Here is a 26,321-nt window from a genome sequence, read left to right as displayed (position 1 = left end):
CCGGGTCAGGGAAGAGGCAGGAGGGAGCTTTGTGGCAAAGCCACAGATTAGAAAATCTCCGAGTGGCGTGAGGTCGGGAAAGTCAGGATGTTAGGTAGGTGGCAAGCAGGCAGGGGAAGCCTGCAGAGCCCAGGTCTGAGCTCCGTGCCATTGGGAGCCTGGGCTCCACATGCTGCTGGGAGCAGGGGTGGTTATTGATGGCAGTTGCGGCTCCAGAGGTGGACAGAAGGGCTGGAGCCCACAGTGGGGCACCTGTGGAGGGATGACACTGCCTGAGATGCTCACTGCGCCCCAAGGTCCCGTGTCTAAGTGCGTGGCACGCTCTCGGGGAACTTCAGAAGGTGGAAATGGAACATGGGGGAGGTCAGCCCAGCAGACACCAGGAGTGCTGTCTGCGGGGACTGAGTTAAAGTGGGAACTGGGCACAGCCCTCCCCGGGAGTCGTGGAATCATGCATTTGTATACTTGCTTGGCTCGGTGTAGCACTGTGAAGCCGCTTCACTGATGGCCATCAGGGCGGGGAGCACGCCTGGGTCTTCTGGATTCTCCACATGGGCTGTGGCTCAGTGGAGGAGTCTGCTGTGAAGGTGCTGCCTCCCTCATTGATGCATGCACTGTCAGGCCCAGGAAGTGTCTTTCTAAGCACCACTGTAATTTGTGTGATTTATGTGCTTGTGTAAGTCTTTTGCTGAAATTAGTGAAAATGAAACAATAGAAAACAAGTATAGGGCCAGGTGCAGTGACTCATGCCTGGAATCCCAGCACTTTGGGAGGCCAAGGTGGGAGGATCACTTGAGGTCAAGAGTTTGAGACAGCCTGGGCAACATGGCAAAACCTCGTCTCTACAAAAAAAAAATAAAAATAAACAGAAATCAGCCAGGTATGGTGGTCTGCACCCCTAGTCCCAGCCACGTAGGAGGCTAAGGCAGAAGGATCACTTGAGCCCAGGAGGCAGAGGCTGCAGTGAGCTGAGATGGTGCCACTGTACTCCAGCCTGGGTGACAGAGCCAGACCCTGTCTCAAAACAAAAAGAAGATAAGTATAAAGATCACTAAATTTCAGTCCATCAAGAAATGGTTTGAAAACTCTAAAAACAAGTTGAATCTATTTAATGTAAACTTTGGAGGGGTGCAGGAGAAGCTGCTTGAGCAAACCACCACTTCCTAGCAGAATTCCTTAATAATTGAAAATGAGAATTAGGAAAAGGGCTACCCACTAAGCAGGTTATTAGTGCGTCTAAATATGGTCAGCCTGGAAATAGGAGATACTTTGCAAACCACAGTGCTCCTGTACTCCCCACACTTGGCGTGGACGGCTAATTCTGGATGTTAAGATAATAACATAGGAGACAAGTTGCATCAAACCTTTTAATTATGGCCCTGAATATTCCTTTTTCTTGTTTCTTTTTTAGGTCTAGAATTACGGAGTCAACAAAGCAAACCTCAAGATGCCTCTTGTCTGCCAGCGTTGAAAGTTTCCGATATTGAACCCACCATACCTGTCACAGAGTTGGACGTGGTCCTGACAGGTCACTGTGAACGCTACGCTTTTCCCGGGTCTCGGGTTCCTTGGGGGAATTAAATGTCACTCCTCACAGAAGCAGTAGAGTCATGTCTTGGAGGTTTTCCCTGAAACACTTGAGCAGCCCTGTGCGTTCATAGTCTCGCTCTACACGATTCTTCTGCCTTGTTCTTAACTCTCGGTGGTGATAGACTCCTTCACTCAGTAAGAGCCCGTGTGTGTGTGTGTTCCTGAGAGGGGTTTGATAGGGCGCTCTGATTTCCTGCTTCTAGAATCAAATGAGGATTTGGGTTACGCTGTGACTGTGTGAAGCGCAGTTTTAAAAATCGAGGCGTCCTCAGAGCCCTTTTTCCTAATGTTTACCCTGCCATCAGCATAGAGGAAGCAGAGGGACGAGAGCCCCCAGAAAGCTGAGTGCTGAGTTGAAAGGAAGTTGGAGACCAGGTTTATCCCCCTGCCGTGTCCTGGCATTTCGTTCCTTGGCACGTTTTGTTCCGTGACACGTTTCATTCCATGGCACCTTTTGTTCCGTGGTACTTTTTGTCACGTGGTCTGTCACTGCTTTTGAGTTCTCAGGGTGCCCCCTTTCTCTCTGGCTCCTGGCTAGTAGCAGGAGAGGCACCTTTGGGGTAACCTCACCTGCGACAGTGTTGATGCTGAGCTTACCAGCGGGTGTGGCCGGACGTGACTGAGCTGAGGGCAGCATGGCTCTCACTTGCACCTTGAGGACGGGGATGGGATTTCACCCTGGGCATCCCTGTGTCCTGTGAAGCGTCTCCAGCCCACCTTTTGTCTTCTGACAGCGCTTGTCATGTTTGTATCTCATTTATTTTCATGTGTGTGTGTGTGTGGGCGCATGTGAGTGGAACTCGAGGCTGACATCTCTCTGATCTGTTAACCCTGGCAGTTTTTGTCCGTGAATCTCATTAAGTGTTTGCTAAGAGTGAGAATAAATCAGTCATCCTTCCGCACCTTGGTCCCTCCGCTGGTCTAGGGTGCTCTGCTAGGTAGGGACATATGAAGCTGAATGTCCAGCCCTCCCCTTGAGGTCAGGATGGGTGGGTGGGGGACACCAGGAGCCTTGTTTGGGGCCCTGGGGCAGCCTTCTGTTGTGGGGCCAGAGGGTGGCAGGGCCTGTTGGGGAAGATGAGCAGCGCTGAGGACGGGTGCGATGTGGGCCCAGGGGTCTCGGGGGCACCTGGTCAGAGTTCCCTCTGGTTGACGGGGAGAGGTTGGGTAACTGGAACTCGCAGTTATGAGACCAGAAGTTCGTGGTTCCATCCTTCCGTTCCCATTCCTTGGAGAGCACGGGTTGCTTTACTATTGAAGACAGTTCCAGTTTTTAGTCATGAAAATATGATTGGGAAATTTATATAAACTCTAGTATAAGTCTTAAACCTCCATTCTTGAAAAAACAATAAATAGCATTGTTTTTAAATATTACAAGTGGTTAGAATTTTACTGGCAGCAATAAAAATTAAATCCCTTTTGTTTTTCTAGCTGGAGATATCCCTGTTCAGTACTGCGCCCAGCCCACCAATGGCATGGTGTATTTCCGGGCCTTCTCCAGCCTGAACACACTCCCCGAGGAGCTGAGGCCCTATGTGCCCCTCTTCTGCAGCGTCCTCACCAAGTACGAGTCGCAACATACCCTTGTGTGTCTTATTAATGTCTGCTTTGTGTGCATATCTGTATTCTAATGCATCAGTAGGAATTACCTTCAGTGAATCACAACTTACAATGTTAGTGTGTAAGTATGGTGTACAATATATTGGTTTAGAATTTTTTATGAAAGTAACATTTTCTTACTATATTACATTGAAATAGTTATGAATCTACGGTATAATATAAGGAGATACTTATAGATCTCCATCTCAGCCTATGAAGCTTTGGAAAGGATTGATGGTTTAATCCGAAAATGTAAGTAATTGGATGTGCAGTGTGGCCTGGGGCTGCCTTAGGAACAGGTGTGCCTGCTGCGTGCGTGGCTCCTCCTCCAAGCCGACCCTGCAGTTGCTGTCGTCCTCCCTAGGTGGGGTGTGCACAGATCTGGAAACACACACACGAGTGCACACATCAACACTTGACTTTTTGCCCAGCTCTGCCGTGGCCGAGGTTGCAGGACAAGCAGTAGACAGGGCTGTGGGCTCCTGTTCCCATCCAGAATAATAGGGCGACAGGGAACCCTGCAGCCAGCTTCAGGGACCACTGCCCAACCTGACATGCAGCTGGGGTCTTCCCTTTGTGGAGATGAAGTTGTCTGCATGCTGCAGAAAGCTATGTGGCTGTGACACCTTCTGCACCCTGGCTGAGGGTCCGCTCAGATGGAAAAATGTCTTCAGGGTTTTGAAGGTTCCCTGCCTTTCTTTTTAAATATAGCTGCCACTGTTCATCCTTTTGTAGCGGTTTAGAAAACACCTCATGGTCATTCCCTTGACTCAATTATTGCTGGCATTAGCAGTGTCACTGTGAATGTTTCTTTCAAAAGCATGAGTGCTGAGAGGAAACTGCTTTTCTTAAAAACTTAAAAAACCTTTAGTCTTCGGACTCCCCCGCCCAGGCTACCAGACATTCGAGCAAAACAAAGGAAGTATGTATCACGGTGATCTGGGTGAAGAGAGTAGGGAGTAGTCATAAAACATTTATTGAAGAGCTTACAACTGGAAATGCCTATTTTAGAATGGTGTTTTAAGTGCAGACACTGGCTGCCCAAGTGTCTTGTGCCTCTGGACGCTAACTTCCTAGGCGGGAGAAACTGGGGTCTCCCTGGGGAAGGGGGCACATGAACTCTCGAGGGCGAAGGCCAGAGTGCACCTGCTTATGACCTTCGAAGTGTAGAGAGGTTGGCAAAGCCGCAGTTATTGAATTAATGGAAGCAACTTGTAACTCAAGATGCACGATTTTAAAAATGATTCAGTAAAGACTGACTTGTAATCGGGGCGATGCTTCTCTGCTGTGTCAGGCTGGGCTGCGGCCTTCTTGACTACCGGGAGCAGGCTCAGCAGATAGAATTGAAGACCGGAGGGATGAGTGCTTCTCCCCACGTGCTCCCCGACGACTCACACATGGACACCTACGAGCAGGTAGCCTGGTACCGTCAGACGACTGCTGCGGTGGGAAGCTTTTCTCCAGTGTCTGTCACTGTTCGATTCGGCCCTAATTCCTTTCTTCTGTGTTTTCTTTGGTTCAGGGTGTGCTTTTCTCCTCTCTCTGCCTGGATCGAAACCTGCCAGACATGATGCAGCTATGGAGTGAAATATTTAACAAGTAACTTTATTTGCAAGAGTTGTCCATTCTTGGGGTGTACTAGAGATCTTTGTTTGAAGTACTTTAAAGGAGACAGTTTTACTCGTGTGTGTTGTTGTTTTCCAAGTCTGACTTTTACTTGTAGTTCATATGGACTTATAAAATTTCTTTGGTTGTTAAAGTACTCTGAAAACTTAATCAACTTTCCATGATACTGAAGGGACGTGAGGAATGGGTCTCCAGGAATTTTTTCTTCTCCTTTTTCCATAGCCCGTGCTTTGAAGAAGAGGAGCACTTCAAGGTGCTGGTGAAGATGACCGCCCAGGAGCTCGCCAATGGAATTCCTGACTCTGGGCACCTGTACGCATCCATCAGGGCAGGCCGGACCCTCACGCCCGCAGGGGACCTGCAGGAGACCTTCAGCGGGATGGATCAGGTGGGAAGCTTGGAAGGAACCTCTATTACTCCGGTTTAGCCACATATTCCAGAGTTACTAATTTCTTTGGGAATACATTAATTTATGTCCCAGAAATGCTAACTTTCTAACTGACTAAATATGGGGAAGAATTGGTTGGTTGGTTTTGACTCATCTTCCTCTTTGTACCACCCTGCATCCCAGTTCCAGCCCTGCCCAAGCCGTGCACTCGCACACATAACCCCTGCCCAAGCAGGGTTCTGATGTCACAGGTGCTTGGTTCAGACTCAGCGGGTCTGTTGTAGCCTCTGCCTCTCTCTGAGCGAGTTTCCTCTGGCTTAGGTGCGGCTGATGAAGAGGATTGCAGAAATGACAGATATCAAACCCATCCTGAGGAAGCTCCCGCGTATCAAGAAACACTTGTTAAATGGTGATAATATGAGGTGCATGTGTGATTTGTTTCTAAATATTTTATGATTCATTCTATTAAGTATAGTTTTTAGGTATTTCTTACTTGTAGAAACTTCAAGATAGAGTGCTTGGTAAAGGTTATAGAATTTATTGTAAATGTCAAGTGTTCTAACAAACTAAGAAAATATTTTAAGCCTATTAAAAGTTGTAGGAGATGGGGAAGAAAGCAGGCTAATTTTGTGCTAGAAGTGCAAATAGATTGAGGGCAAGTAGTTATATTGCTTCCAAAAGCACATGGTCCGTAACTGAGGTATCTGTAAAGGTGAGCTTGCTGAAGACCAGAGTAAAAGTGCAGTTTCTTATAAAATTATGTGATGCTTTGAGGAAACATCTGGCAGCTCAGTCCTATACCTTCAGTTGGCCTTATGCCCTCAGATGTGTGAGCATGAATAAAGTTTAAAAATGATTGTTTATTTTCAGCATCTTATTGTCAGTGACATTGATGTATTCATCAGTACTTAACAAGAAAATGTTTGCTGAAGTCACTTGTCCTTCTTCACACAGAGTCCTGATGCCTTTCCCCAGTCATGTCCTGAGAATCCCTGGCAGATTCTACAGGGCGGTCTGTGGGTGGCCAGAGGTGAAGCCTGGCGATCAGGGTCTCTTGGCATTGGGCTCAGGCAGGCCTGGCTTCTGGTGCCGCCGGGTCAGCACTCACACTCGCTCCCAGGCGGTCCTGGGCAGCTGACCCACTTGCGTCTTCTGCTTCCTCCTCCATAAAACCTTCCTTTGCAGGTTTATCGTAAGGAATAAAAGAAAGAATATCTGCAAGGCAGCATACATGCCTGGGATATAGTTAGTATTAATATAATGGTACCTGCTGTTACTTTAACTAGAATAAGTTCAGGATTTACAGCTGAAAGGAAAAAATATACACTCTGTCAATATACTGTAGAGTTCAAGTAGCTTTTATATGATAGTAGTATTTGCAATTCTGTGGAATTTGGAAGAGTTCTATTTTCATGTAACTTTGAGAGCATGGTATTTTTTTGCAGTTTATAATGTTCTGCTTTAACAACCAGTTCACATTTTCAAATTGATGACTTCTGGACAGTAATTTTAAAAGTTGTCAGTGTTTTGATAGTGTAATTCCGAAGGCACGGTTAGCAGATCTTAATAGTCTCTGTATTTTCTTTGCTCTTCAGAAGAACTAGAGTTTAGAGTCACAGGCTCCGCGTATGGACGGCTTCATTAGCTGCCACATTGAACTGTGCGGAAATCTCTTGATAACCTGAAGCACTGAAGAGCAGGGAGGCGGCCGTGGCATTTCCACATTTGGCTGCTGTTTAACACTCTGAACAGTATTTTCTATAAAAACAACATTATTGAGTTATACAAAATGTGATGAATTACTAAAACTGTTTTTTCTAACAGTGGTTTTATGTATACATAATTTTTCAAACAGGTGTTCAGTGAATGCGACTCCTCAGCAGATGCCTCAGACAGAAAAAGCGGTCGAAGACTTCCTTAGAAGCATCGGTCGGAGTAAAAAGGAACGGAGGCCTGTGCGCCCACACACGGTCGAGGTATGCACTGGTGGTGCTGGCGCCCGGTGAGCGCCTGGTGGGTGCCAGAGCAGCTCTCATGTTTTACACGCATTAACTCAATTCTCAGAGCAGTCCAGCATGTGGGGGTTCATATCCCCCGTACGCAGATGAAGAAACTGAGGTTCAGGAGGATTAAGTATCTTGTGCAGTGTTGGGCCAGTTAAGTGAGTTCAGACCCTGCGGTGTGGCCTTAGATCCCGCGCTCACTTCTGTGCCTTGCAGTGAGTAGTCTGATAGGAAAACAGACTTTGGCTGGAATACGCTGGCAGAGGAATGGCCCAAACCGTAGCCTGAAGGCTGTTCACTGCTGTTTCTTTGACTCATGAATCCATGGATTTGACATGGAACAGTGATGTCGGTGATAACTAACTTAGTAAATTTGATTAACTTAGAGAGTTGTAGTCTAGTTCATGGATGTCAGTAGAGAAGCCGTGCTGCTCCGTGGAGGAGGTTGACGCTCATGTCTTCTCCGTTGGTGTCTGCGTATCCCTGGTTCAATTCTGGATGTGGTCTCTCTGTTGGCCCCTGGGAGTGGAGCCTTTGGGAGGTGGCCTCCTGCTGCTCCAGGCCCCTCTGCCTGCAACCCTTTCACCTTAAATGTCCTCTTGATTTGACAGATTAATGACAAGAAAGTGCAGAAAGAAAGGTTAAAATATTTTCTTTGTACCATATAACAAGGCTACCTTTTCCTTGACTGTCTGAAAATTTATTTTAATATTTTCTTAATTTCTTTTACTCACTTTATTTCTTTTTTTAGTTTTTGTTATTTTGAGACAGGGTCTGTCTCTGGCACTCGGGCTGGAGTGCAGTGGTGCCATTACAACTAGCTGTAGCCGTGACCTCCTGGGCTCAAGTGATCCTCCAATCTCAGCCTCCCAAGTAGCTGGGGCTACAGGTGTGCACCACCATGCCCAGCTAATTTTTAAAAATTTTTTGTTGAGATGGGAGCTCACTACATTGCCCAGGCTGGTCTCAGACTCCTGGACCCAAGCAATCCTCCCACCTCAGCCTCCAAAGTGCTGGCATTATAGGCATGAGCCACTCTGCCCAGCCTATTTTTATTTTTTTTAAGCGTTTATTATTTAAAACACTTACACCTGCCCTAACACTTGTTATTAGCTGTGTGAATTTTATAAACTCTGTTACTTCTTATATATTTCAAGTGAGTTCTGGATTTTTCTCTTTTCTCTTGGAAACTTGATTTTCAGAAACCTGTGCCCAGCAGCTCTGGTGGAGATGCCCACGTTCCCCATGGCTCCCAGGTCATTAGGAAGCTGGTCATGGTAAGAACCACAGCCCATCCGGGTTGCCAGCGGGTGGGTGCTTCCCTGCATGGCTGTGTCTGCCACTGATGTTCGAATGTTCCTCCGTCCGCCTGTCTGTGGGGCTGGCGTGTCCCTAGAGTTGCGAGTTCAGTGCATCCTTTGTCACTGCCACCCTGAGCCTTTTCTCTCTCAGACAGTACTGAGTGAAGGCCCTGGTGGGGGTGTGTCCTCCTGTGCCGAGGAGGGCCCTGGTATGGGGTGCGTCTTCCCTGTGCCCAGGAAGAGGGCTACTGCTCTGGGTGGTCTCCTCCCGGGCAACTCACCCTTCTTTGAACGTAGCTCCCGAGCTGAGTCGATGCCAGTGGAGCGGTCTGACAGATCCTTTCCGCGACTCAGCCTGGTGCTGATGCTGTTTGGTTTGGTTCCTTGTGGAGTAGAGTGATTTAACACATTCCTATGATATAATATGATATGAAATATAAATATGTAACTGTGATATAAACGGCGTAGAATGAAATGTTTTTAATTGAACAGTATACGTTAAGGCATCACGTCAAGATTGGAGGACTTCATGTCAGTTTTACAGTGAGAAATTGTGTGGAGTGACGGAACTGCAGTGCCTTGCTCTCGCGCCCCAGCACCTGGCTGCAGAGTGTCACGGAGATGGGACCCCTGAGATGGCTCCAGTCCCAGTGCCGTGGGCAGTGCGTGGGAGCACAGCCGCCTCTGACCCCTGAGTGGGTCCAGTCCCAGTGCCGTGGGCGGTGCATGGCAGCACAGCCGCCTCTGACCATACCGTGTCCCTCAGGAACCCACCTTCAAGCCCTGGCAGATGAAGACTCACTTCCTGATGCCCTTCCCGGTGAATTACGTGGGTGAATGCATCCGAACTGTCCCCTACACGGACCCAGATCATGCCAGGTAGGAGGGTGTAGGTCGGGACCTCTCAGGCCTGAGCCTTACGGAAGAGCTTGTCAAGGCTGTTCGAGTTCACAGGGCGTGTTTTAGCACAGGAAAAGTCTGTGCTGACTCTGAGTGTTGGACCTGGGGCTGTGTGAGTCTACGAGTGCTCCTCTTTAACCAGCAGTCTTTGTGAACAGAGACCCAGTTTTAGAGCCAGTCATTTTTGTAAACAATTTCTATTATTGAGGAGTCCTATGAACAATACAGATACCTATGACCTTAAACACAGACTGCTTTCAACATGCCCCATGTACTCACCTCATCTCTAGGTAAAAATCGAATGAATTTAGGCTGAGATTTCTGATAAACATGGTAGGTTAAGCCTTCATGAGGACAGATGCGTGAATGACAGCAAAGGCAGATCAAGACACGAAGCTACAAGGGAAAGAGTGGGAGGTGACCCGGAGAGCCATGGGGGCTGCAGGAGAACCTCGTGAGCCAGACTCTGGGTGGGTGGGGGGTGCCTGACCTGGGGCCACAGAGGGACAGGGCAGTGGGGAGAAACCAGGTGGTCCTGCAGAGCCCTGCAGATGGCAGGGCTGGAGGCCGCCTCACAGTCCCTCTAAGGAGTTTGTCTCCCCTGTCTCCCCACCAAGTCAGAAGCTCAGGGAAGGAGGCCCTGGGTTGAGCAGCCGAAGCCACAGCCAAGAGTCAGGGTCAGGCCTGTTCCCAAAGTGGCGTGGGGCGAGGGAGTTTGCAGCCTACAGACTGGCCCTCCAGCCCCTTCTTCCGAACTCTGGCTGCCCCTTGGCTGTGTTCATCCCATCTGGGGAAACTGGCCAGACCAGGACAGACTCACAGACGTGCACCTTTGGGGACCCGTCAGTTGGGTGTGTATGACACAGATATGTGCAAACATGTTATATCCCGGAAATTCACTTCCTGTGTCCTTGTCCCAGGCAGCTACCCCCATGAGGGACTAAACCAAGGAGTGAGCCTGGTAGAGAGGGGGAAGGCAGGCTTAGGCCTGGGCAGCCTGTCCTGATTGGAGAAGGAGCCGGGCCTCCGAGGTGCACGTGTGTCACAGAGGGTCACAGATGGGGAGGTGTGTAGGAGGCAGGCGGGAAGAAACGTGGGGCTGCAGTGGGGGCCCAGAAAGAGCTGGCTGTAGAAGTATGTGGTCAGCTGTTTTGTTCATTTATTTCCATATTTGTAGAAGATGAACAGATCTGTCTGCTATGCCGGCAGAAGAGTGGTGTCTGTTTCCACTATCCAACAGGAAAATGTAGACAGAAAACACTAAAAATGTGGAGGTTCCCCCTGGGCAGTGGGATTCCAGATCTTTTTTTCCTTGTGTTTTGTATTTTATAATCTTTCAAAAGTGAGCATGTTTTTAATATACAAGTAATAGAAATTTCTCAGGAAGGATAATGTGTGGACGGATGGAACGCCATCCCTGCCGGTGCTGGTGGAGACTCCGTCCCCCAGGGTCTGACTCCAGCCTCGCTAGTCCCGGCTGACGGCGCCCCAGCCACCCGAGTGGCGCTGGGTTTCTCCTGGAGGACCCACACGAGATGGTCGTGACTTCTCCCACCACAGCCCCTGGGAACACGCCCACTCCTTCCTTGATTTCCCACCTGGCCTATTTGACTCCCTTCATCCACTTTAGGAAAAGGCCTGTCTGTGGAAGCGGCGACCTGGGGCTGATCTCACCACGGGCGTCTTCAAGGAGCCTGTGTCTGTGCTGCAGACCCTCCCATCATTGTCTGCCCCGCCTTCTGTCGGAGGTGGATGTGTTCTAGAATCAGCTTGAATGTGATGTTACCGTTCACAGTGGAAGGCAGAGGAAATTGGCCCTGTTCCTAGAAATGTGCTTTATCAGAGAGTGTGTGTTTTCTTAAGGGATTCTTATAAAACTCACTTCAGTTTCCTTTCTTTCCATATTCTGATGTGAGACATTTAAATAAATGTTCATTTGCTCATTTGCCTTTATAATAGAAATAACCTCTTTCTACTTCACGAGATTTTAAAAATGCCACATGTGCATTGGAACAAGTTAAGCAGTGTGGTGCTGGAAGTGTTAAGATTCCCTCCCCACCACCTCTCCCTTCAACCCTGTAATCTAAGCCAACTGTTTGAAAATTGTGCTTCCTTGTGCTTTTTAGTTTTGGTTAATTGAAAAGAAAATCTCATGCCTGTAAGCTCAGCACTTTGAAGGCAGGAGGATCACTTGAAGCCAGGTGTTTGAGACCAGCCTGGGCAACAAAGCTAGACCCTGCCTCTACAAAAACTGTAAAAATAGTCAGGCGTGGTGGCACACACCTGTAGGCCCAGCTACTCAGGAGGCTGTTGTGGGAGGATCCCTTGAGCCCAGGAGTTCAAAGCTGCAGTGAGCTGTGATTGCACTAATGCACTCCAGCCTGGCGACAGAGCGAGACCCCATCTCTTAAAAAACAAGACCAAAATATGGGACCATAATTTATGCAGCATTATTTTACAACTCGATTTTCATTTTCACTTAATCCAACAATTACTTCATTGTCTATGCTTTTTTATCAGCCACGGTATTAACTTGCATTTTTTAATCATTTCAGTCTTAAAATCCTTGCACGTTTGATGACTGCCAAATTCTTGCATACAGAAATTCGAGAAAAAGGCGGTGCTTATGGTGGAGGCGCAAAACTCAGCCACAATGGGATTTTCACCCTTTACTCTTACAGGTGAGTTTTGCTCTAGTTCACACATTGGGATGCACACGTCGTTTTAGTCTTCTACTCATGATTATCAGTGTCATTTTCTTCTACTGCAGTGAATTTTAGACAAAAGTTGTTCTGTGTGCTTCTTTTCACTCCTTGGGCACTTAGCCACACCCAGCAATGTCCTTTCTGGCGCGAGGATTAGGGCCAGCAGCCGAAACAGGAAGCATTCTGCCTTCAGTAAACCCTGGCTTCAGCCAGCATATTTTGGCAGAACACGGTAGTGCCTCCATCCGTGGGTTTGCCTTCCATGGTTTATTACCCACAGTCCCCCTCGGTCTGAAAATATTAAATGGAAAATTCCAGACATAAACACTTCCTAAGTTTTAAATTGTACACCATTCTTCTAAGCAGTGGGATGAAAGCTGACGCTGTCTACGGTACCTGCCTGTTGGTCACCCAGTAGCCGTCTAGGTATCAGATACGCTGTGGGTATCCAAGAGCTTCTGTTCACAGAACCCTTGTTTTACTTAATAGTAGCCCATCAGCGTAACTTTTATTACAGTATAATTGTTGTATTTTGTTAATATCTTGCTGCACCTAATCTATAAACTTTATCATAGGTATAGGAAAAAAACATAGTATCCATAGTGGCTGTCTGAGGTTGCAGCCCTGCCGTGGGGGTCCTGAAACACAGGCCCCAGGTGAGGGGGCTGATACAGCCTGAGAGCGTTCTTAGCTCATTTCAGTTGGAGGTGCCTGATGTGGATGCAGTTCTGTTAGCTTTCATAAACATAACACCGTTACTGTAAAGCAATATTCTTGATTTTCTATGGCTTTGCTGCCTAAGAGAACATGTATTCCAACAGTTTTTAAGAAGGAGCCAGCCGGCCGCAGTGGCAAGTGCCTGTGGTCCTAGCTACAGGAGGCTAAGGCGGGAGGATCCCTTGAGCCTGGGGAGGTTGAAACTGCAGTGAGCAGATTGCGCCACTGCACACCAGCCTGGGCGACAGTGAGACCCTGTCCCGTGGATGCATAGCTAGATTAGGTAGGTAGGCAGGCATGTAGGTAGATACGTAGGTAGCCATTGCCACTCTGATGAGTTCTCCCCCTTGCTGTGCTGGAAGCCATGCTTCTAGACAAGGATGGGGAAGCAGCTCACAGCCGCCCCTCTGCAGCTCAGGGTGAAGGGAGGGCTGGGCTCTTTGCATTTACACGAAGGGAAGTCTGGATTGGCCCCCTCAGGCTGATTCCTGTACTACCCTGGGTGTGTCTTCAGGGAGATGAAAGGAAAACCTTTGTTTGCTTAATTTTTCCATGTAAGTCTTTGTAATTTCCCTGTAATCCTGACCTGCCCCTACCCTCCACTGACTTTCCTCTCCTGATGAGGTCACAGAGAAGTGTATTTAAATAATCTAGGGAGGACTTTGTGCAGACAGACCTTGTCTAAGAGGGAGAACATGTTGAAAGGCTTATGTGATCAGATTTAAATTTCCATTGAGAGTAATTGAGCGATTTGTCAGTGGGCTGTTTGGACTAAATCAGATATAAAATAGAGCTGTTAACCCATAGAAGATGTTGAACTGTTAAGTCGACAGAGGTTTGTCATAAACTTGTCCACTGGTAAAATGCTTGCCCGTTTATTTCTCTGGGTTTCCTAGGGACCCAAATACAATAGAGACGCTCCAGTCTTTTGGGAAGGCTGTCGACTGGGCTAAGTCTGGAAAATTCACACAGCAAGACATCGACGAAGCCAAACTTTCTGTCTTCTCAACCGTAGATGCTCCTGTCGCTCCTTCAGACAAAGGTATTTTGAGTATAACAGTGAGAATCTCAACCCACAGCCTCACAGATGACGTTGCTGTTTTCCAAGTTCCCGGCATGCATGGGCAGGAGCACTAGCTTCTGGTGCCTCCATCCTTGCTTGTGATACGATTTCCACGTCTGACACCCTAAACACGCTTCCTGACATCCGGGCGAGAAGAGTGCATCCTGTCATTTGTTTTACTGACCTGAGACCCAGTGGGGCCAACCCATGGCAGTGTCCGGGCTCTTTAGGGTGGAAGGAGGACGTGGGCACGGCCCGGGCATGGCCACGTTACTCTCTGGAGCCGCTTTTGCTCACAGCATCATCAGCCTCACGCGGCGCTGACTGCATCCCTGCTGCAGAAGCAGGCGTGGGTAGGGGTCAGCGTGGCACGTGGGAGCTGGAGGTCGGGGTGTGATCTCTGGGTTGTTAGACACATCCCTGTGGTTGAAACATGCACGTGAAATGACAGTGAGATGCCTGTGTCCCCTCCGGGACATGAGTGCACAGCCCACAACGCGAGCTCCCGGGCAGCGGCTCCATCGTGCCTGTGGATTGTCTTCTAGGAATGGACCACTTCTTGTACGGCCTCTCGGATGAGATGAAGCAGGCCCACAGAGAGCAGCTCTTTGCTGTCAGCCACGACAAGCTCCTGGCCGTGAGCGATAGGTGAGTGGGGAGCGGGGGAGACAGCGTCTGGGACTGGAAGCCCTCGTGCTGACTCTAACAGCGCTCACGCAGAAGCCAGTCCTTGCTGACCACGCCTGCCTTCCTCTCAGATACCTCGGCACTGGGAAGAGCACACACGGCCTGGCCATCCTCGGACCCGAGAACCCGAAAATTGCCAAGGACCCATCCTGGATCATCCAATGAGCAGCCGTGGCGCTCGACTGCACAGGAGCCCGAGACAATACACCTCCGAGCTGAATATGAAAAGTCAGAAATGCTACTGCTTTTTCCAAGAATATTATGTCATTGAGTGTCGCCAAAGCCCTTGACTGGCGAGTCAAAAACTCAGATCTATCTTAAGAGTGACCAGGAAGAGGTTCATTGAAATAATCATGCATGAAGCGCCAAAGATGCACCATGTAGAATTTTCACTTTGTACTGGCAGGCTCGTTTTACCTCATTCTAGAATATTTAAGAATCTAAAAATAAAGGGCAACTCTGACTTAACCTCTGCTTGAGTCATTATTTTAAGCAGCATTTAGGGCCTTTATTTAAAAACAGAAGTAAAATGAAAAGGTGCACAAGGGTGTCCCACGTCTGCCTGCGCTGATTCAGGAAACTCCATCACACCGAGGCCCTGGGGGAGTGTCCACCAGACGGGAGTTCACCGCGGCGGCTGCATGGAAACCGTCCTGAGAAGCAAGTGGGTTGGGGTGAGTAAGCGCTTGCTTCATCGTTACAGAGCCAGAAAGGAAAGCCTCCGCGCTAGCTCTTTCTTGGCTGTCGGACTCTGATTTCCCAAACAGAGTTTGTTTTTGGCCTCTCCTCTCCCTCCACCCAGCTCTCTGCCCCCATTTCTGAGGCGCAGCTGTTCTCTCTTGCAGACTAGAGCTAAGAGGCAGAAACGCTGTCCCTACAGGAGGGGGGCCCACCAGGGCAGCAGGGCTGTCATCCCAGCAGCCGTGTCTACTCTGGCAGGAGTCTTCCGGAGAGTTCCAACCTAGGTCCCAGCGAGGACTGTGGCTTGGCCTGGAGGAGAAGCTGGCTATCAGATTTTTGAACCCACCTCCGCCCCACCCACCCCTTGGTGGTTTTAACATGCAGCTAGGATTGCAATCAAGAGGACAAGTAACTAAGATTCATGTTTTACTTTCAAAGGAGAGCAGGAGCCTGGGGTCGAGGCCCAGGGTCCCGGCCTGCTGCTGTGGATGGAAACTGACACATGGCAGATATGGAATGGTGAGTAAACGTGGCCTTCCCCTTGGCCTGTGTGAACTCCTGGCTTTGTTCTCCTTGTATGACGTGTGCATAGTTCAGTGATCCCTATAAAAATATTTTGCTAATCTTTGCCCACAAAACTGAGAAAACCTTTAGTAGCCACCCATAGATTGAGGTACTAATCTCCTACTTAAAAAACTAAAACAGAGGACTGTTGGAGTCATAGGCAAATGTTTAATTAATTCTGCTCATATGCACATCTGAAAGCATGAGACACACTCCACAGACAGCACGCACTGGAGCAGGTGGGGCAGATGGGCACTCGCCGATTAGGTATTAATGTCAATAATACGTGCATAAAGTGCTGATAAAATAACTTAAGTGTTACAAAAACAGACAGTCCACGGTGGCTGCAGGCACATGCAGGCGGGACTGGGTCAGACACTCCAGGGCTGCACATGTTCCAGCTGGCCTGAGTCCGACACGTCATAGCTGGCCTTGTACTTGGCCAGGATTTTCATGAGGGGCCGTAGCTTGAGCCACCACTGTTCTTTGGGAATCCTGTGCCTGTGGAGGTAAGAGGAGACAGCAGTGAGGCCTGCAGTCACTGGCGGGAGATGCCTCCGCCTGGCCAGCACAGCGAGCGGTCTTGCCAGAAACACAGGGTTTGTAGGGTCGGCTGAATCAACTAGATGATAAAGCCAATTTCAGGATCAAATGAAACCATTGTTTAAAATTATTCCCGAAGACCCAGTGGTGGAGTCTCGCTCTGTCGCCAGGCTTGAGTACAGTGGTGCAATCTCAGCTCACTGCAACCTCTGCCTCCCGGGTTCAAGCGATTTCTCCTGCCTCAGCCTCCTGAGTAGCTGGGACTACAGGTGTGCATCACCATGCCTGGCTCATTTTTGTATTTTTAGTAGAGATGGGGTTTCACCATATGAGCCAGGTTGGTCTCGATCTCTTGACCTTGTGATCCACCTGTCTCGGCCTCCCACAGTGCTGGGATTATAGGCATGAGCCACCGCGCCCAGCCAAGACCTAGTATTTTTTTAACTGAGCTTCAGAAAAGCCAGTTCCTCAAACCCCTGAATGAGTTGCCGACAGCAACAGCAATGGCCATTCCCCTGTCCCGTACTCACATTGGGGTCTTATTGCCTCAGGGAACCCAGCCAACTTACTCAAAATCCGTTTGCTTCTTCAGCTCTGCCACAGGTTGAAAAATAACGTTTCTTTTGCTTATTCCCAGCACACAAATGGAATCATCGGTGGTAAATTTTTTTCCTATAAAAGATTTTAAAAAAGATTAATAACACCCTGTCAACATGGGCAGGTGGGGGAGCAGAATCACGGGGCGAGATGAGAACTGAGATTCCTCAGAACCATGCTGAACCCGGCCTGGAAGCCCAGTGAGACTGAGAACAGCCGCGCAGTGGGGCCAGCACCTGGCCTCGTGCAGCTCTGCTCCTGTGGGACTGCCCCGAGGGCTTCCTGGAAAGCAGCTTTTGTTTTTTCCTCCCAGTGGAGAGAATTTTTCACTAAATAGTGGAATAGGGAAATTAGCTTAAATTACAGGACACTAATTTATGCTCACACATACACACACTGAGAGGCAAAAAGCATCCATAGCTAAATTAGCAAAAGAAAATCGCTGTAGAAAGAATCAAAGCCAAAGTCAGTTCTTCAAAAAGACAAACCCATTGAAACTATTCACATCACTGGTTTTTATAGACTGTCATTTTTCTAAGTTGGACACTGGCAGTGATAGTGGTTTGCCGGAATAAAAGCACACATCTGCTATGACTGATTAAGAAAGCTGAGGGGGGTGGGGGTGAGAAAGATGCTGGCACAAAGAGCCACTCAGGAATGAGTGGGGAACAGCCATGTTGGAGCCATTAACAAGAGTATTATAAAAAAGTCATGTTTCTTGAAACTTCAGTTTAAAGATTTCTTAGAATATGTAACTTACAGAACTGATTTAAGGAAGAACATGCACAGTTCTACGAACATGCAGTTCTACAAACATGAACAATTCATTCAGCAGTCAGATCTTCCTCAAAACTGGAAGTTTTGATGGATAGTCACAAGGAGGTTGTCCTAGCAAACATTCAAAAAATAGAAGGCCCCACTTAAACTGTGAGGGGAAATTGCTGGCCAACGTTCAGGATCTCTAGAGCAAAAAGCCTGCACAAAAGAACTGCAGACTGCATCTAGCAGTGATAAAAGAGAACATGTCATACCCAAGCTGATCTTATCCCAGGAATCCAAGGTTGGTTAAATAGCAACACTCAGAGATCAGGAGTAAAACATCACGTGCAGCTCAGTACTGAACTGAAGAAGGAACCAGCACCCTACTTCTCCCCGATAGGACAGCATTTTCACCAAGGCAGGACGGCCTGCATCACGAGGCTGTGGCCTCCCTCCCCAGACCCCTTACCTCTGCCCCGGGCCTCCTTGAGTTTTGCAGTGATCCACTCCATAGCTCTGGCAGAGATTTTGGTTCCAAAGTTTCTATCAAATGGAGAGGGTGCCCCACCCTGTTGGTGGTTAGAGTTATATGAAATACCAGTTATACAGTAACACTTTGCTGTTAAATAGAAATGACAATTTCTATTTTGCAGAATTCATGTTTTTATTTCTAGGTCCTTATAGTTGGAACAGAACAAAACCTGTGATTCCCGTAGCCTGAACTTGGCCTGTTAAGAAAAAGTATCAAGTGTTCCCCCCGCTCAGTAAGATGAGGATTTTAATAAACCGAACAAGTCAACTAACAATCTTCATTATTTTAAAATCTTAAATCAGGATTTCATGAACTCATCTGAGCTGGGGATGGGTCACAGCTTTAATCTGATAACCGTTGTGGATTCTTTAAGAAGATCACACATATGCCTACTATTTCATCATCATTGCAGGGGATTCATGGGCTCTGGCTTAAAAGTATAAGAATAGGAGGTGGTGAGGAAGGAGTGTGTGCAAGTTAGGAGGCCTGGACCCTGTGTCCCAGGCTCAGCTCATAACACGTGTGTGCCTGTGTGCAGCTCATTCCAGGTCATTCTGACTTGGGGTGTCAAGTATACTACATGTCTGATAATCCATTTTAAATCTTAGGGAAGCTCCAGTTTTTAACTTGATGAAGTGTTTAATTTGAATAAGCATTTCCAAGTAATGGGGGTATCACTGTTTTCATGAAAGCTGACAGTTCCCTTAAAATCCCCATTACTCAAACCTCACCAACAAAAGAATCCTAAAGCTGGTGATGTTTGGCATCACTTAAAAGTTCAGATGTTTTGGCTGGGCACAGTGGCTCAGGCCTGTATTCCCACCACTTTGGGAGGCTGAGGTGGGTGAATCATCTGAGGTCAGGAGTTTGAGACCAGCCTGGCCAACGTGGTGAAACCCCATCTCTACTAAAAATACAAAAATTAGCTGGGTGTGGTGGTGGGTGCCTATACTGCCATCTCCTCGGGAGGCTGATGCAGGAGAATCACTTGAACCTGGAAGGTGGAGGTTGCAGTGAGCCAAGCTTGTACCACTGCACTCCAGCCTGGGCAACAGAGCAAGACTCTGTCTCAAAAAGTTCAGATGTTTTTTATCATCTTGGAATTTACTTATACATTTTTCCCCACAATGGCTAAAATAAGACACTAATCTTTTAAAAGTCACATGACAGGGGCTTTGTGGCCCCTCATGCAGTCTCGGGCCTACCTGCTGCATGTGACCCAGCACGTTCTTCCTGCAGTCAAACACGCCTTTGCCCTCTTCTGAATACAGCTGGTAAATGAAGTCGGTGGTGTAGTTTTCACTGCAGCTCTCATTTCTGAAACGAGCGAGAAGGAGTCACTTTGTTTAGCGTGCAGTGGGCACGTGGCTCCCTGCTTGGGGAGATGGCCCTGGGAGGCTGGACTCCCGCATCCCCCAACCCTATGGTGATTCTACATCAACACCAGTCCCTCCAGTTCACGGTTTTGCTTTCTGCAGTTTGTTACCCATGGTCCAGTGGTCAACTGAGGCCCACAAATATTAAATGGAAAATTCCAGAAATAAATATGTAAGTTTTAAATTGCACACCATTCTGAGTAGCGTGATGAAATCTCGTGCTCTCTTGCTGTCCCACCCAGAACGTCAATCATCCCTGTGCCCTGCATCTCCATGCTGTCTGTGCCTCCTGCCCGAGTCACTCAGTAGCCACCTTGGTTATCAGATGGAAGCAACCTCGTGTATACAGGGGGCGGGTACTATCCCCAGGTTCAGACACCCACTGCAGTCTTGGGACACAGTCCCTGAGGCTAAGAGGGATGACTGTATTTCCTTCTTTCTTCATAAACATCAGGTGCTAATTAGGGAAATGATTGCAAGATATCAAAGAATAAGAGACTATAAAGCAAAAATATTAGTTGTCTAAATGCAGGCAAGCCTTTAGAGCAATGCACCACAGCTGTCTTCTGCACCTGCTCAGTGTGTGTAGTGCACTCTAGCGGCAAAGAAATGACCACTCATCCAGCCCAAGTCACAGACTAGAATCTAAGAACCAGGGTGTGGCGGTGAGGGTAAGATCAGCCCCTGGTCTCTCTCTCTCACCTGAGCACAAGGCCTCTCTGGATGGTGGTCTTCATTTTCTCCGTCAGGTGCTCCACGTTGGACTGGAAGAGAGTATTTTGTTAATCAGACAATAAACTTCTACTAAGTACCTACTGTGTGCCAGGCACTGCAGGCTGGGAAGTGCCAACCAAGTGTGGCAGTGAGCGTGGCCAAGGAGGCTGCAGCTCTCGCGGCTTGGGTCTTGGGGAGCCTCCTCCCAGATAGGGAGGACACGTCTGCAGCGATGAACGCTGAGGACAGGGCACGGTGAGCAGCCCTCACGGCGGCCACTAGCAACACCTTCCAGAGTCAACAGGGTCCCTCTGAAAATGGTAATTCCGTGCTTTGCCTAGTGATCATTCATGGCTCTATTGCTCCTTGTTTATTTGCATGACGATGTTCTCGGTGCTCTCAGAGGAAAGAGTGACCTGTGGCCTTTCTATGGAATCTCATGTGACGGCCTGATGAGCAGTGTCTGACCAAAGAATTTTGTAGACTCACATTCATACACAGATTTCTTAAGGAAAAGATGGTCTTAGAGTAAGAACATCCCCATTTCAGATCATGTTAGGAGGATTACAAGAGGGAGGTAATTCTCTAATGATTCATCCTAAGAAAATGGAGGTTTTTACATCTAATCAAATCTGTCACTGGGCGCAATGGCAGAATTTCACAAAGTAGGAGGCCAGGCATGGTGGCTCATGCCTGTAGTCCCAGCACTTTGGGAGGCCAAGGCGGATAGATTGCCTGAGGTCAGGAGTTTGAGAGCAGCCTGGCCAACATGGTGAAACCCCCGTCTCTACTAAAAATACAAAAAATTAGCCAGGCGTGGTGGCAGGTGCCTGTAGTCCCACCTACTTGGGAGGCTGAGGCAGGAGAATTGCTTAAACCCAGGAGGCGGAAGTTGCAGTGAGCCGAGATTGTGCCACTACACTCCAGCCTGGGTGACAGAGCGAGACTCCATCTCAAAAATTAAAGCAAAAAATAAAAATCTGTCATAATTTCTCTTAAGCCCTTGCCATGCTGAGCGCTGGTGAGGCAGGATCTTTGGATAGATTTCTGAAATACGGTCATGAGTCATGTAACAGGGGGATATGTTCCTTGAGAAATGCATTGCTAGGTGACTTAAGCCTTGCGCAAACATCCTACAGTGAACTCACACAAACCCAGGAGGCAGAGCCTGCTGCACACCTGTTGTTCCTGGCTACAAACCTGAATGTCTGGGACTGTTGAATACTGCAGGCAATTGTGTATCTAAACATGTCTAGATGTAGAAAAGCACAGTAAGAGATACATATTTTTTGATAAAAAACATCTTTTTATAAAATATATATTATAAAAATATATGTAAAAAGATATGTTTTTATAAAAGATAAAAAACTGCACCTGTTTGGGGCAGCTCCATTATAATCTTATGGGACCCACTGTTGACAGAAACATCATGATGCAGTGAATGACTCCACAAATATTTGACATGGTAAAGAAATTCGTGATTCACATGTCACATAATTAGTGCCAAGGCCCTTTTTACTTGATCTATTTGGCTCAGAAACAAGTAACATCCTAACTTTTTAAAAGACAATGGTGCTGGGCGCGGTGGCTCATGCCTGTAATCCCAGCACTTTGGGAGGCCGAGGTGGGCAGATCACGAGGTCAGAAGTTTGAGACCAGCCTGACCAACATGGTGAAACCTCATCTCTACTAAAAATACAAAATTAGCTGGGCGTGGTGGCACGTGCCTGTAATCCCAGCTACTTGGGAGGCTAAGGCAGGTGAATCGCTTGAACCTGGGAGTTGGAGGTTGCAGTAAGCCGAGACCACGCCACTGCACTCCAGCCTGGGTGACAGCAAGACTCCCTCTCTAAATAAAGACAATTGTTCAAGTTGCATTTTATCTGCCAAGGCCTGTCATCTTGCATGAAGTTTAGCAACTTTGAATGTTGCAGGGTCCAGGCCTGGATTCTGCTGTGTCGTCCAAGCAGGGGCAGACCGCGGGGTCAGCGACACCCTTCCCTAAAAGAGCCACAGATGCCGAGAAACCACGGTCATGTCTGTGTCCGTTTAGAGGCAGACGCAGCATCAGGGGCCTCAGGATTTAAAAGAAGCTGCAGCAACCTTCAGAGCCTGTCGCAGACGTGGGTGGTGACTGTCAGCGGAGGTTCTCAAATCATTGGTGACATAAGTGAGACAACATTAACTACACAACAGACTATGTCAAACAAACAAGCTTGTGTTTCACACATGAGACTAGAAGGTGTCCTCAACCAGGCACACCCACCGTCACCTGACACGCAGTAGGGGCACCTGGGCGATGCGAAGTGTATCAAGCGTGGCATGTTCTGTAGCATCTCCATCTCCATGCCCCTTGGAAAGCAAACCACCCTAGACACGATGATTCACTCCGCAGCACCCAGTGGATCCCAAGGGGACGGGCCCTGAGGCCAGCCCCGTCACATACCTGCAGATCCCTGATGTCGAAGGGCTCTTCGAAAATGTATGCGGCATCAGCTCCGGCCGCGAGCCCCCCCATGTTGGCCAGGTAGCCACAGTAGCCGCCCATGGTCTCGATGATGAACACGCGCCGCTTGGTTCCGCTGGCGGACTGCTTGATGCGGTCGCAGGTCTGGTCACAGAGAAGCGATCAGTCACTCCAGCCCAGGCCCGGGGCGCGCCCACCATCCCAGAGCTCCCCCAAGAGTGAGTGCAGCAAGGCCCCCCCACCGCGCCCAAACATGCGGTCCCAGCATCCCGCAGAGGTGAAGGGTGTGCAGCAGCCAGGATGTGCCCTCGGAGTGGGTGTGAACGTGGTCCCCCGCAACCCCACCATGGCAGCCACCTGGAGGTGACCTCGATGTCCCGTTTTGGGGGCCTGGCCATCTGCCGCTCCCTTCTCCCAGGCCCCATAGAAGGGGACGGAAAAGACGACCCCACAAGCCAGCTCACTCCACGCTGCTCTGTGACTGTCCCTGCTGAAGCCGCTTTCACCGGACACAGACACCGTTAGGTGTTAGCTGAGATGTTAGGGGACTGTCCCCTGCCAGCTTAGTCCGTGAGAACCGCTGTGCTATTCTATTTTCTTCTGAAAAGCTCCCTGTGATTTTAGAGGTGCGGCCATCTTCCATCCATTGGCGAATGTTACATTTATGGAAACTCTACTCAAAGGCAGATGGTGGTTCTTAGACCCAGGCACCTGGGGAAGTCTTCCAGATGCACAGGCATCGGATCCCAGAGTGAAATGTCTGCCATCCGCCCTCCATGAGGACCCAAGCTCGGCGGGGAGAAAAATGGCAAAGAAATGCATCGGCCGCCTTCCCACCCATACATCAGTCCGGCTGCAACGCCCTCTTCCTGGGCCTCAGCTCCCACCCCGGGACCCTCCAATCCGTTCACACAGAAAGGACCCCATCTATAAAAAACATAAATCTGATCCAGTTCTTGGTTTATTCAAAACCCTTTGCTCACTTCAAGTACACATCAAGCCTTTGTCGGGAATCCCCGGCCCCGCCTGCTCCCGGCACCAGGTCCTGTTCCAGCCACCCCAGGTCCTCCTGGGGCCTTTGGATATGCTGGCCGCTGTGTGCATCACATTCCGGCACAGTGGTGGGCGGGAGAGCAGCCCCCAAAGGAATCCCAGTCCTATCCCTAATCCCTGGAACCTGGGAATGCTCCCTCATGCGGTGATAAAGGTGAATCCTAGGAGTACCCAGGTGGGCCTTAAATGCCATCACCTGCATCAGCAGATGAGGGGCGCAGAGGCTGAAGGCCCTGGAGCGGGATGCTGCACACCCACATGGAAGGAGGAGGCGCCAGGGAACAAGGCGTACAAGGCGTGCAAGGCCCGCAACTCTGGGCACCTGAACGGGCCACGAGGGACGCTCCTGGAGCAAACATTCTGGCCTCAGCCCATGGCTCCTGCGCTCCAGAGCTGTGGGAGAGAGTATTATTTTCCAGCCCCAGGTGTGTGGTCAGTGTCACAGCGGCCACGGGACACACAGAGGCACCTTCCTCAGCTCTGATCCAGAGGAAAATGTCATTTCCTCAGGAAAACACCACCTGGTTTCTAGGACCACAAAGTTCCCTCTGTCAGGGGCTCTCGGAGCCACCCCATGTCCTCTCTTCACAGAAATTATCCCGGTGTCTCTCCCTGCAGTTACCTTGTGGTTATTTGACTTGGGAGGATCTTCCTCACTAGGCTGCAAATTCCATGAGGACAGGAACTGTGGGCTGGGCTTACACCAGTGCACCATCAGCAGCACCCGGCCGAGCCCCCACAGCAGGCGCTCAAGAAATGCTTGTCTCTGAATGACATAAGCATGGTATTCCCCAGCCAGCCGTCCGTCCGTCCTGGTCAACGGCTGATCCTGCAGGATTCCCTAATGGGCCTCCATGGGACTCAGCCAAGAGTAAGAGCATGAAGTGGGGGTGTGGACTTGAGACTAGGAGCCACGTGAGAGTCTGTGCACCCAAGTTTAACACCCATTGGGAAATGTTCACTTGAGCACTTCGGATGAAATCTAAAAGTGCACTTTGATTAATAAATGCAGGCTTGATTAAATGATTCCAAACTGTATTTCCAGTTTCTTTGGCAGATTCTTTTCTTCCCAAAATAATTGGTTGATGTATTCAAAACTGAACACGGACTCTAGTTAGCGGGCCACTTTGCATTGTGTAGAAGCCGAGATGGGGAGAGAAACAGGCAATGGGAAGAATTCCCATCTTTGTGCTTAGGAGGACAGAGGACAGATCCCCGTCAAGGGTCCAAAGAGCCCACAACTGCCTTCTTGAAGGGCCAGTGCAGAATTCTGAGGGTTGCACTGTTCCACCTGTACCGGGTCTCTCTAAATGTGATCTAAGACTTAAGACGCTGTAAGGCTTTAAGACTTCTCCTTTGTCTTAGAGAATCCCAGGCACGGGTGGGGCCTCAGGACCCCCAGAGGCACAAAACCTCATGGGTTACTTTTCCAACTGAATCTCCCCCGCAGCCCACCCTGAGGTGGGGAATTACTGTCACTCATTCAAAGAATGACATCAACCGCTTAATGGCAAAAGAATTCTGCGGGCAAAGCAGCTCTCCCAAGAGGCTGATTTGTGCCCAGGCGTGTCTGAGTTCTGGTCCCGCCAGGCTGCCCCAGGGGGCTGTGGAACAGCGCAGCCCTGACACCTGAGCCACGCCCCCGACTGTGTGCTCGTCTCAGTGTAAACGCAGCGACAGCTGGTACGGAAGAGGCCGCCTTTGCTGGAGCTTAGATACAGCTTTCCTGAACTCTCTCCTCATTACCTAGATGGCATCTGAAGCCTGAATTAGCTTCTAAAAATAGCAAGTCACTCCGGCCGTGCCTCAGGCAATTAGTCAAAGCAGCACTGACAAGAAGGCGGCAGATCCCAAGCGCGGCCCTGCCTGCCTGCAGTGTGGCACGGAGGTGCCTCCCTGGCCTCCGAGTGGGTGGAAGGATGGCAGAGGGCTGTGTCCCAGGGCTGGCACGTGGACAGCAGCTGTGAGTGGCACTTGTCAGGCAAAGCCTGTGACCTCAGCCGTTCCCCCTGCACGATGGGATGTGCCCCCAGCAGACGCCACCCCCTGCAAGGACGCAGAGGCGATCCTGCTGCTGAGAAATTCCCCGAGGAGTCCCATGGGAGCGAGAGCCCCAGGCTACAGTTCAAACATCACCACACTTTGCTCCATGGGTGTTAAGAAATATAAATTGGTGGTGAAAGAAAAGGTGGCGTTTGCTACAGCATTAACGTAGAAAAAAGCCACTGACTTCTCTGTGAGAACCACCTTGCTCTGTGAATCTGCAGGGAGGCCAGTTTTCCCATGACTGGTATCCCTCACGGCAGCCGAGCCTCTGCTGAAGTCGGTGGCCAGACGGGACAGGGGGTGGGGGTCCTGTCCCTGCTACAGCATGGAACCCGCAGCAAAGCACAGCTGCTGGCCAGGGTAGGGCTGCGTCGCGTGTGGGGCGCGAGGGTGGAAGTGTGCATGGACAT

General features: G+C 49.3%; 2 protein-coding genes, 1 long non-coding RNA gene and 1 other non-coding gene across 32 annotated transcripts in view, besides 5 other annotated features; 1 reads left to right on the top strand and 3 right to left on the bottom strand.

Annotated features, from left to right (window-relative positions):
* Nucleotides 1–15,048, top strand: part of PITRM1 (pitrilysin metallopeptidase 1) — a 35,115-nt gene extending 20,067 nt beyond the window's left edge. For 3 of the 15 annotated variants that reach the window (NM_001347727.2, NM_001347728.2, NM_014889.4), the window contains exons 15-27: nt 1,412–1,528; nt 3,022–3,154; nt 4,484–4,604; nt 4,712–4,788; nt 5,038–5,203; nt 5,525–5,625; nt 7,059–7,179; nt 8,409–8,483; nt 9,274–9,386; nt 11,963–12,088; nt 13,726–13,871; nt 14,438–14,540; nt 14,651–15,047. In NM_001347727.2, the coding sequence (NP_001334656.1) occupies nt 1,412–1,528; nt 3,022–3,154; nt 4,484–4,604; nt 4,712–4,788; nt 5,038–5,203; nt 5,525–5,625; nt 7,059–7,179; nt 8,409–8,483; nt 9,274–9,386; nt 11,963–12,088; nt 13,726–13,871; nt 14,438–14,540; nt 14,651–14,744 (1,493 nt within the window). In that variant the 3' untranslated portion in view covers nt 14,745–15,047. Of the gene's footprint in view, nt 1–1,411; nt 1,557–3,021; nt 3,155–4,483; nt 4,608–4,711; nt 4,789–5,037; nt 5,204–5,524; nt 5,626–7,058; nt 7,180–8,408; nt 8,484–8,999; nt 9,387–11,962; nt 12,089–13,725; nt 13,872–14,437; nt 14,541–14,650 lie in introns of those variants that run through there. The other 12 variants (NM_001242309.1, NM_001347726.2, NM_001347725.2 and 9 more) reach the window with 10 other exon arrangements.
* On the bottom strand, nt 4,146–11,174 carry PITRM1-AS1 (PITRM1 antisense RNA 1). The gene is made up of 4 exons (NR_038284.1): nt 11,006–11,174; nt 9,687–9,803; nt 8,789–8,919; nt 4,146–7,804 (listed from the first exon to the last, which is right to left on the bottom strand). It is a non-coding gene; the product is annotated as a PITRM1 antisense RNA 1 (long non-coding RNA).
* Nucleotides 10,433–10,932: an enhancer, noted in NCBI's record as "H3K4me1 hESC enhancer chr10:3184035-3184534 (GRCh37/hg19 assembly coordinates)". NCBI's record gives its function as "activates a minimal SCP1, AML or CMV promoter by ChIP-STARR-seq in naive H9 embryonic stem cells {active_cell/tissue: H9 hESC(naive)}" and the evidence as "EXISTENCE:reporter gene assay evidence [ECO:0000049][PMID:30033119]".
* Nucleotides 10,933–11,434: an enhancer, noted in NCBI's record as "H3K4me1 hESC enhancer chr10:3183533-3184034 (GRCh37/hg19 assembly coordinates)". NCBI's record gives its function as "activates a minimal SCP1, AML or CMV promoter by ChIP-STARR-seq in naive H9 embryonic stem cells {active_cell/tissue: H9 hESC(naive)}" and the evidence as "EXISTENCE:reporter gene assay evidence [ECO:0000049][PMID:30033119]".
* Nucleotides 15,791–16,290: an enhancer, noted in NCBI's record as "H3K4me1 hESC enhancer chr10:3178677-3179176 (GRCh37/hg19 assembly coordinates)". NCBI's record gives its function as "activates a minimal SCP1, AML or CMV promoter by ChIP-STARR-seq in primed H9 embryonic stem cells {active_cell/tissue: H9 hESC(primed)}" and the evidence as "EXISTENCE:reporter gene assay evidence [ECO:0000049][PMID:30033119]".
* PFKP (phosphofructokinase, platelet) overlaps nt 15,970–26,321 on the bottom strand; it is a 69,258-nt gene continuing 58,906 nt past the window's right edge. For 9 of the 15 annotated variants that reach the window (NM_001323071.2, NM_001410880.1, NM_002627.5 and 6 more), the window contains 6 exons: nt 22,792–22,956; nt 20,334–20,395; nt 19,461–19,572; nt 18,193–18,292; nt 16,937–17,039; nt 15,973–16,325 (listed from right to left, as the gene is read on the bottom strand). In NM_001323071.2, coding sequence (NP_001310000.1) covers nt 16,196–16,325; nt 16,937–17,039; nt 18,193–18,292; nt 19,461–19,572; nt 20,334–20,395; nt 22,792–22,956 — 672 coding nt within the window. In that variant the 3' untranslated portion in view covers nt 15,973–16,195. Of the gene's footprint in view, nt 16,326–16,936; nt 17,040–18,192; nt 18,293–19,460; nt 19,573–20,333; nt 20,396–22,791; nt 22,957–26,321 lie in introns of all 15 variants that reach the window. The other 6 variants (XM_005252466.5, XM_047425350.1, XM_006717449.2 and 3 more) reach the window with 1 other exon arrangement.
* Nucleotides 16,291–16,792: an enhancer, noted in NCBI's record as "H3K4me1 hESC enhancer chr10:3178175-3178676 (GRCh37/hg19 assembly coordinates)". NCBI's record gives its function as "activates a minimal SCP1, AML or CMV promoter by ChIP-STARR-seq in primed H9 embryonic stem cells {active_cell/tissue: H9 hESC(primed)}" and the evidence as "EXISTENCE:reporter gene assay evidence [ECO:0000049][PMID:30033119]".
* SNORD142 (small nucleolar RNA, C/D box 142) lies at nt 18,477–18,671 on the bottom strand. The gene has a single exon (NR_132758.2). It is a non-coding gene; the product is annotated as a small nucleolar RNA, C/D box 142 (small nucleolar RNA).
* Nucleotides 23,047–23,560: an enhancer, noted in NCBI's record as "H3K27ac-H3K4me1 hESC enhancer chr10:3171407-3171920 (GRCh37/hg19 assembly coordinates)". NCBI's record gives its function as "activates a minimal SCP1, AML or CMV promoter by ChIP-STARR-seq in naive H9 embryonic stem cells {active_cell/tissue: H9 hESC(naive)}" and the evidence as "EXISTENCE:reporter gene assay evidence [ECO:0000049][PMID:30033119]".

The sequence above is a fragment of the Homo sapiens genome, chromosome 10, assembly GCF_000001405.40.
Source record: "Homo sapiens chromosome 10, GRCh38.p14 Primary Assembly".
Lineage (NCBI taxonomy): Eukaryota > Metazoa > Chordata > Mammalia > Primates > Hominidae > Homo > Homo sapiens.
Note: the sequence above shows the minus strand (reverse complement) of the source record. Positions and strands in the feature narration are given on the sequence as shown.